General features: G+C 33.9%; 1 annotated feature.

Annotated features, from left to right (window-relative positions):
- Nucleotides 8,574-8,743: an enhancer, noted in NCBI's record as "experimental_26470 CRE fragment used in MPRA reporter constructs". NCBI's record gives its function as "activates a minimal promoter by MPRAs in K562 erythroleukemia cells, with activity observed for both the introgressed and non-introgressed 12:17640763 variant alleles {active_cell/tissue: K562}" and the evidence as "EXISTENCE:reporter gene assay evidence [ECO:0000049][PMID:34662402]".

Here is a 10,751-nt window from a genome sequence, read left to right as displayed (position 1 = left end):
ATTGATTAATTCCAACATTTTGAAATGTATGTACAAATAGGCTAGAATGTGAGCTTCTTGAGTGCAGTATCTCTATTTAGTTCACATTTGTAATTCCACAGTCCATGGCTTAGAATCTTATATGTAATAGGCAATGAATAATATTTAAGTTTATAATCTTATTTTCATGACCAAATACTACATAAAGTCAGATAACAATGACAAGACAACACTTAGCCATTGCCTCTAGCCTCCCATTGATTAACATCCAGTTAAAGAAGTCTGCCTTTAGGGTAAGTAGGTAGAGACTGCTTCTGGACATTGGAGGTAGCTGAAATTATTTTTGAAGCTTTAAAATAGTTTTATTTGTAAAAGTAAATTTTTTTACTGCAACAAGGTCTTCTTTAGAGTTTTATGTTTTATATCTGAGGTATAATCTTAACTTAGACATATTTGCATTACTGTCAAACTACTTTCAAATTCCAATTTTAAGAGAAACATAATCAACACATTCCTTGTCTTTACACTTCATAGAAGGCTTGATGGAGAGGAAGGTTTATACTTTTTTTGCTCCTTTTTGGTGCAAGACAGAGCAGGGTTTAAAACCTACTTTTATGCTTATTAATAGTGTGACCTTGAGTGAGATCCCTAATCTCTCTGCACCAGTTTCTTCACCTGTATGATGAAGGTAATAATATCTACCTTACAGGGCTATTATGAAAATTGAAAGTAAAATACATTTCTAGAACTGTGTGTAACAGATATTAATAAAATAAAATATTATAATAAGCATATACTTTTCAGCACTTGATATCCCCAACAGAAACCAAAAATGTACAAACTTCCTTCACTTTATCTGTGAAACACAGGAAAATTTTATTCCAAAAATGGATTTAAACCTATAAAACTTAAATTGCATTCTAAATTTCAGTTAGATCATAATATTTTCCCTTTTTTAGATAATCTAATGAAATGGTTTCACTAATACCTGGATCATCTTATAGATACAATTTTGACAAAAGCAATAGTTGTTAAGTACAGCATCAGACTTAAAAAATCACGATATAGGAAGTCAGCTTAAAAATCTATCAGGATATAATGCTTAAAATTTTTGCTAACTTGCTTCTCTCACTCAAACAGGTTATAATGTTCAAGGCTAAAGTGTGATCTATTGCTGAGTTAGTAATGACAGTAAAGTTTGCCAACACAATCACTGCACTACATTATCTAAGTCATTGCTCTGTAAAGTGCTTTGGGATACCTTGAGTATGAAGGGCTATATATCAAAGATATTATATTTTACTCTATATGGTACTTGGGTTTTGGCAATGCATATTCAACAAGCTGAATAAAAAGACCTCTAGTTGTACTTTATTAGTATTTGTATGCATTCACCACAGGTAAGTGTCGGCTCAACTTGAACTAAAGGAAAGAAATTATGTTTGAGAGAGAGAGGAAGGATCTTCATCCTGAAGGTGTAAACTTCAACTAAATATGTATTCCTCTACCATCCCTGACCTTAGAATTAGCCTACCTCTCCCTTGTCACTTAGAAACCAAAATGAGTTTCCTTTCCGTGCGAGAGTGATATATGAGAGCAGGAAACACGTCAGAGCCATTTATCATTGTGTACCCTCAGTTTCTAACCCTGTGCTGGAATGAATGAATGAATGAATGAGTGAAGAAATGAATGATTTCTGCTAGATTATATGTTACCAAATTTTTCAGTAATGTGTTTTTAAAGTACCACCTCAAATTTTGGTAAACAACTTCACTGTATGTCAGGAATGTCCTCAGAATTTATCATGGTGACAGTTTACAAGTAGAAGCCATCTCAGAGGGAGGCTATTTAGTAGTATTTAAAGTTGTCCACTCTTGTTATAGGATTGTCTTTCGGGATAAATGACATTTTAAAAATTTATGTATGTATGTATGTATGTACTTATTATGATACAGAATCTCGCTCTGTTGTCCAGGCTGGAGTGCAGTGGCCTGATCTCAGCTCACTGCAACCCCCACCTCCCAGATTCAAGCGCGTCTTCTGCCTCAGCCTCCCGAGTAGCTGGGATTACAGGCACACGCCACCACGCCCGGTTAATTTTTGTATTTTTAGTAGAGGCGGGGTTTCGCCATGTAGGCCAGTCTGGTCTTGAACTCCTAACCTCAAGTGATCCAGCCGCCTTGGCCTCCCAAAGTACTGGGATTACAGGCATGAGCCATTGCGCCCAGCCAATAAATGACATTTTTATTGCACTACATAGACAGGTGAAAATATATCCCCAAGCTGCAGAGATGCTAACTTTTGTGTTAAGTCACCCCTATCAATCAATATGTATGTAGGGACTGCATAGTAGATATATAGAAGACATACATACTTGAATATGCACAAACATACAAAGTTGATATAAAATAAGTTAGCACATATCTTAGAGTATTAAGAGATATTTCTCTCATCTTATGTTTTGATTTTTGGCACATTATCTTTCTTTTTTATGAGCGCAGCATCTAGAAAACAGTATGTTTGCCTCTATTTATGCATTAAAAAGATTTTCTTAAGTACCTAGTATATACTAGGCTCTGTATACAAGTATTATCAATGCTTGACTAATTTAATAGATAGCCAGCAACAAAGAATAAAAGTAATAATAAATTCAGTTAAAGAACATTTTTTTAGTTATAGGATTATATGAGTTGTTCTAAGTATCAACTTAACCAAGTGGAATAAGAAAATGTGTTTCCAGATTAGAGAAATGTTTGTTTATTCCAAGCAGAATATTCAATTAAAAAGATAACAGCCAGCCATGGTGGCTCGCGCCTGTAATCCTAGCACGTTAGGCTGCCGAGGCAGAAGGCTTGCTAGAGTCCAGGAGTTCAAGATCAGCCTGGGCAACATAGTGAGACTATATCTCCACAAAAAATTAAAAATTAGACAGGCATGGTGGTGCATATCTGTAGTCCCAGCTACTTGAGAGGCTGACATAGGAGGACCCTTGAGCCTAGGAGGTCGAGGCTTCAGTGAGCTGTGAATATGCCACTGTACTCCAGCCTGGGCAACAGAGTGACACCCTGTGTCAAAAATAGAAAAAAAAAAAAAAAACGGATACTAATGTAATAAACAGTGTGTACTAAATCACCCTTCTCTGATCAGTTTCAATCATCAATCATTAAGTGTTAATAATATACTCAGTAGAAAGTAATAAAACATTTCCATTCTCTTCTCAAGCTTACCATCTATTTGTAGAAACAAGATGTTTTGAGGTTTTCTAAATTGACACTGAATTACAGATTTAAAAGAATAATCTTTCAAATATTTGCTGCATGTCTATTCATAAGAAATGAGACTCGACTCTTGCCTCAAATCATGTACAAAAAGTACTGCAGATAAATGTTACAGTCAAATGTGAATTATAAAACATTAAGTTTTCTGGAGTAAAGCACAAAAGGAAAACCTTTAATATCTTTGCACAGGTAAAATTTCTTAGCAATGCACAGAGTGTTTATTCCAAAGGGAAAAAATGAGAAATTGGACTACATTAAAATTAGAAACATTTGTTTACAGAAAGCCACAATTAAATGAGTGAAAAGGCAAAGCGATCTGAGATGATATTGCAATGTTCATGTCTCAAAAATATACAGAATATATAAACAATGCTAACGAAGCAATAGCATAAAAACAGCATAACTCATTAGAAAAGTAGTCAAAAGATCAACATGTAAGTCAACAAGGAAGATATGGACCTCTTCGTTATTCATTAGGGAAATGCAAATTAAAATATAAATTCAACATGCATTGGAATGAAAGGTAGATGATAAAATGAGAAGTAGATGCAATGCAAGTGTTGGAGAACATGTAGAACAATTGCAAGCTTCATAAATTACCGGCGAAGTACAAATTTCTGCAACTACTTTGACAAAGTATATTACTTATTAAAGCTAAATAGGCCACATTTTGTGACATTGAAGTTCTAAGTGTATGCCTAGCAAAACTGATTAAATTTGCTCACCCAAGTGCATGAAAACAAATACCTATGACAGTAGCATTAGTAATAGCCAAAATTGGAAAAAAAAATCAAGCGTCCCGCCCCAAAACATTTTAATATATTTAAATAACTGTGATATATCATGTACTTCAGTGAGAATGAGCAACATGAATGAAACTCACAAACATGATGTTAAACAAAAGAAGCAAGACAAAAAAAACCCAGCATACTGTGAGATTCTATTCATGTTAGGTTTGAAAATAGGAAAATTAATCTACAGTACTACAAGTCAGAAGATTGGTTTCTTTCAGTGAGTAGTGAATAGCAAGTAACTGGTTACATGGATACATAGTTGTGTGTCCGATGTGAAAATTAATCTAGCTGGACATTTATAAATTGAACACTTTTATATGTTAATGTTAAACTTTACTCAAAAGTAAAGTAAGTAAGAGATAGAGAAGGTATTAGAAATTCACAAGGAGGCCACTAAGGACTAGGTAGTTTAGCCCAACTTTATGGCTATCCATTTATTTATTTATTTATTAAATAAAGCATAGTTTTATTATATGCCAACTATAAATAGTAACTTATTTGATTTTCCCAATAGTCTAATGTGTAGCTAATACTTGTAGACCTCATTTTACAGACTGTGAAACTGAGGTACAAAAAAGCCAAACATCTAGGAAGCGGTGAAGTTAGAAATGGAATCCAAGCAGTACAGCTCCAGATTCTATGCTATTACTTTTTACAAATATAAAATTATTCTTGAAGAATGAGGTGTTAAATTCCCTGGGCTGCTGTAACAAAATATGCAAATTTGGTGTCTTAGGAAAACAAATTTATTCCATCCCAGTTCTAAAAGCCAAAATTCCAAAATCAAGGTGTTGGCAGTTCATTCTGGAGACTATGAATGAAATCTGTTCACACCCTTCTCCTAGCTTCTGGTGGGTGCAGGCAATTATATGTCTTGGCTATAGACATATAATTTGAAACTTTGCCTCTGTCTTCTCATTGTCTTTCCCTCTGTCTCTCTCTCTCCAATACTCACTCTGCTTTTTCACTTTGAGGACATCTGTCATTGAATTTTGGTCCCACCCTAAATGATCGCATCTCAAGATCACTAATTACACCTGTGAAGATCCTTTTTCCAAAGAACGTTCCATTAAAAAGCTCTGCAGTTAGAACTTTTTTTAACCACTATTTTAACCACTTTTTAAAATCACTATTCAACCCATTACATATGGAAACGTTTTATAAAGAACAGTGTAGTAGTCTAGTATAGATGAGGGTAACATAAAAAGGAAGGAACATATGTAAAAATACCAGGGCAGTGAAGATTTATTAATGAATACAAGATAAAAGGTAAAATGGGGACTAAGATATTCCTATATGTCTCTAAATATGGTTGTGCCATAATGGAAAGAATGCTTAAAAATGATTAATCTGATTGCTTTTATTTATATCCTTTTTTAAAAAAAATATTATATTCCTGAACAAAAGTAAGGAGGAAATATTTCCACCTGAATCGTGATTTATAATTAAAAGTGAATGCACCAAATGAAAGTGGCTGCCTATAAGGGGAGCTACAGAAGTGAGAAATTAGAAATAAGGAGAATCAGCTAGGAAGTGACTCCTCATATAAGAAAGAATATTTTGTACTTATTTTGAACTACAGGCAATCTAATTCAAACTATGAAGTCTAAGATATATTGCAAATTATTTATCTTCTTCATACCTACCCCACCCCCTGCTTCATCACCACTATCATAGAATCAAGGTAAGAACAACCAACTTGTGTTTAGTTGTCGTTGGTATGTGTGATCTCAGACTAAACAATGTCTTCCAATCCAAATAAAATGGTTGGGACTATTGGGTTGTTCACACAACTATTTAGGGGTTAATGTACTGAAGAATGAAGACAAAGTATGAAGTAGCTACAGTAGAATGAACTGGATTTTCTAAAGCCAGAATAATTCCTTCATTCCTCTCATTCATTCCTTAAATGTATGATTCAAAAAAAAGTATGAGCATCTATAGATCTTTATTCATTTATTCAACAGTATTTACTATTGGATGTTGGGGGAGAATCATAGAAGAAGAGAAAGAAGAATAATATGAACTGATGGTAATTATTGTACATATTATGCTGTAGGCACTAGTCTAATGTTTTCCATTTATATAAACCACAAAACAATAAGGGTAGAATTATTGTTTTCAAAATGCAAATGAGGAAACCGAGACAATGATAGTTTAGATTACTATCCCACAGTCCTATAAGTAGAATGAGGCAGGGATAAGATTTGCATGTTCATAGTTGGTCTCCAGACTCCATACTTTTAGCCTTTACACTAATAGTGCTATGTTGAGTATGGAATCTTATTTTAATAACAAATAATATCTCACTTTATAGAAAAAAAATGTGCTAGTTGCTGTAGGTGAGGGAGGGGAAGATAATCTTCACCGTAGATTGTGGGTAGTAGAAGAAGGGAGGGAGACACTGATAGTAATGAACCAAACTAAAAGAAATGTGCAAGTTGTCAATTTATTGCCTCTCAGGTTCAAATCCTCTCTTCATTCACTGTTTTTGCAAAAATCGAGCTGCACCTTTTAAATATTTCTCCTTCGTTGCTGAAACTGTGTTTTCTTTTGTTAGTAGAGTATAGAGAAACACCAAGAACAGTTTTCTCTTCTGATTCTGGTATGCTTTGGTTTGCTTGTACTTGCTCCTGCTGTGTAGCTGTCAGCAATGCATATGAGATATATCCAGTGGAGATCAGACTCGTGGATGCCTTCCCATCAAGTTTCCACAGAACACTGCAAGCAAATTCTCAGGGAGGCTTGCAGGCACCCTAGTTGTTGGCGTTGTAGCCTAAACCAACCAGCAGGGGTGTTTCCTACTTGCTAATTTCAACTGTAATTTTGTGTCCACCTGCACGCTGGAGAAGTGTTTCCTGTCTTGGCTGACTTCTCTGACTGACAGCCTTTGGCTTACCTCCACCCCAGAGAAGTGTTTCCACCTTTCCTGGTGATTTTGGACCAGCTCGGATCCAGGCAACATAGAAAACTTCTCTGTTGTGCAGTGGGCTGCAACCATACTTTCTCCAACAAGGCCTAAATCCCAGGTTTGGGAAGGGTCATCCTTCCAAGTTGACTTTTCCTTGGGTACTCTCCCCAGGGTAGTCTTCTGAGTTTTCTTCTCTTCTTCAAAGACAATTTGCCATTATAGTTAATAGTTATTTATATTAAATGATCCCTGTTCAAATGGATTGTGTGGTTTCTGTATTCTGATTGAACCCTGACTGATAAAAGAGGATAATCAAAGAGCGGGGGTAGGGCCAATTACTGACTTAGTTAAAAAAGGGAAATATTTGTGTGAATCCTACCAAAAATTGAGAGGAGAGCAGATTTTTACTTGAAATTCTGCCTAAAGACATGTTAAGAGGTAGCGTCTTATCCAAGTTTGATAGAAATAAATGTACTGAAATAAAAATTGGCCATGCTGGCTCCACAGGAGTTCTCGACCTCTTCCCACTAAAATGTGTGCCCATCAGTAAAAATGGCTCACTGTAGCCAGTATTTTAAGCCAAAGCTGATGAATGGTTGTGAAGGTGGCAGAGGAACATCTCAGAGGTAATTCAGATGAATCAGACTAGAAAAGCATGGCCCTCTCTCCTGGAGAATCACTCAAAGTGGGTGGTGTGTGGTAAGCAAAATTCAAAAATATGCAAACTAATTAATAAAAGGCCATTAAAACACACAAACATGGACATCAAATCAGAGCATATGTACAAGTATATCATTCACATTTTGTCTTCCAATAAGCGAGAATGTAAAAACATATTGATATTTTATTGTGAATTTCAATGCAACTTTCCTATGTATTCTTTACACTATAAGTGATTCCTGTAAGCTTCTTTCATGTACAGCATCTTTTAAATGTTTAAGGTAAAAGTAAAACCAATGAAAGTTTGCATTCTTTTTGTAGTTAACAATTTTTACTAATATGCCTCATAAGTGTATCTTATAAGCATGCTTTGTTCTCTCTTTGTATAAATTTTATTTTATATATAATTCCAAATGAGCTATAAAGTGTTCATTTCTGTTACATGCCTTATGAAAACAAATTCACATGCATAGGAAACAGATATGTCATTCCAGGTTTTTTTTCTCTTAATACTTCATGCTGACATCCTAAGAAAAAGGAGACCAAAAAGTTGTTTTCACTAACCTCATCTTTATTTTAATAATCATCATTTGATAACTCATCCCAATATTTCTGACAGAAAATGTTACATGTAATTTGAATCCCTTAGGTTAGAATTTAGGACTGTACTACAAATTTAGAAGCTAGGCCTTCAAAAATAAACAAGAGGGAATCAAAGCAGGTTTGGTATGCCCTTATCAGTGATAAGCGCATATCATTGATTTTTGATTCCATATGCATTCTTCTAAAACAACTTGTTAACTCTGAAAGTTTTCTTGGAAGGAAACCTATGTCTTTCTGCAACTTTCCTGCTATGAACAGTGTCAGATACAGGCCAGTTGGTAAAGTCTAGCAATGATCCCCAAACTAAAAAAAAAAAAAAAAAAACTTGATTATGTGCTATCAATATATGAATTAGTATTAATTTTAAATTTAAATTTAAAATTATACTATTTACAGTATTACATTTGTATGAAATGTAAACTGGAAAAGTACAAGCTAAAATACAAATATAAATCTTAAAAGTTTTCTTCTCATGTTCCCTGGGGCATGTGTCCCCATTTTGAAGACCACTGAACAATAGGATTGCAGAGTAGAGGTCAGATTAGTTTCAGGGGCATTACCAGGACATTCTATATGATTTGAATTTATCCTGGTATGCATCCTTCTTCACCCTGTTTTTATTTGTCCCTTTTCTCCCCCATTCATATACACACACAAACATGTAATCTAAAGTTTTTAGTCCCAATAGCTACTCAAGACAAGTCTGCATAATAGAAATATCTCAAATAAGGAGTGATTATAGCCAAGAATAAGCACCTTGAAAGAAATGCATAGTATTAGCTCAGAACAAAAGCACAGATTTAACAATGGTTCAGATTTACAAATGTTACTTATGTACATATTTGCACTGAATTTCAGGTTGAGCCACTGGGAAATCTATGGATATACTGATGTGTACATCAGTTAAAATAAATAATATAACCTATTTAAACGTGCATTTGTTCCTATCTTTGGTGCATTCCCATTGGGTCCTCTTTCAGGTTCAGCCAGATATTGCACCAGGAAAAGTCAGACATCGATCTTGTCTTGTATTAATTGTAAGTTGAGCGGATGGCTGCACATCTTTAGTATCCTTTTTTAAATGTTGTCATGGGTGTCATCTCTGTTTCCAGCTTTTTGGTTTTATTGCAGTTTTATTTTCTGTAATTTTCTTGAAATGCGAAAGATATAGTTCTGCTGTGATAAATGAGATGGGGAACCCATAGCTCAGTCACTAGTTTGTACATAGATTGACCATTGAATGTAAAGTATGTGATGCTAAGAACAATTTTGATGAGATCCATTGTTGAATGTGCAATGATTCATCCTTCTTTGTAAAGTTGTTACCTTTATGTCTTAGTGCTGCATCATTTTTCATGTTTCTCTTTTAACAAGTATTTGGAAGGACAAAAATCTTCCCCAAAAATAGCCTAGGCTACATTGCATACAAGTGAGAGATATTCACTAAATATATCAATACCTCTATGATTATACAGTTTAACTTCTCATTTTTAATGAGTTTATAATGTGTTATTTTTAGAGAAACAATCTTGTATCTCACTTCCATCATCTTTTGTTAAATCTCTTATCCCTGTTCTTAAGAATTTCTTATCTTTGATGAAGAATATGAAATACAAAACTCAGATATTACATTATCTGATTTACTATGATTCAGTAAAAATGTCACCATTTTTCTGGAATGAAATATATATATTTATTTCATATGTGTGTATATATATGTATGAATTCAAATACATATATTTAAAATTCAAATATATGTATAAACTAATATATGTATATATGTACATATTAGTTTATTTGAAGAATAATATATATACATATATATGTATATATTAGTTTATTTGAAGAATTAATTTCCTACCAAAGACCAAGGACACTGCTTTTACCCTCTAATTAACTTTCTCCCAAAAATCTAACCTATTGACAATAAGCCATCAAAGCCAAGTTCTTCTGTAAGAACAAAAGCAAGTGGCCTCTTTGAATCATTTTATAAAAAAGAAAATAAGATATATAAATACTCATTCCATATATGTACATAATCCATATGCCTTGAGACAACAGATCATGCCAGTGTATTTCAGAGGCAAATGGGGAAAAGAAATCCAATCAACAGGAAAAATGCAGCGGTTATGAGAACATGTACTTTTAAAAATTTCACTAATGAAGAGCTTCCAGGGAATTCAGAGATCTTTCCCCAGTAAAGGAGACACTGGCTATGGCTATGTGCCTGAAAGACGCAATGATTATAAAATGTGAAAGGAGAGTAATTGGAATGCTGAATGTTATGTAGACTGTTTGATTTACCCAAAAAAATCAACAAACAAAATTATCATAATCAAACTTGCAGATTGTTTTATTTGAAAACACGGAGACTTGCATTATTAAAATCTCAGTGGATTTTTATGAAAATATAAATCATGTGAAAAAATTTACAAACTAATTTGTGGAAACCCATTCCTTTCCAACAAGTAATCAGGTCTATGATAAATTTAAAAAGCAAGGGATAAAAGAAAAAAAGGCAAAAAT

This window comes from Homo sapiens, chromosome 12 (genome assembly GCF_000001405.40).
Source record: "Homo sapiens chromosome 12, GRCh38.p14 Primary Assembly".
Taxonomy (NCBI): Eukaryota; Metazoa; Chordata; class Mammalia; order Primates; family Hominidae; genus Homo; species Homo sapiens.
This window is presented reverse-complemented; position numbering and strand designations above follow the sequence as displayed.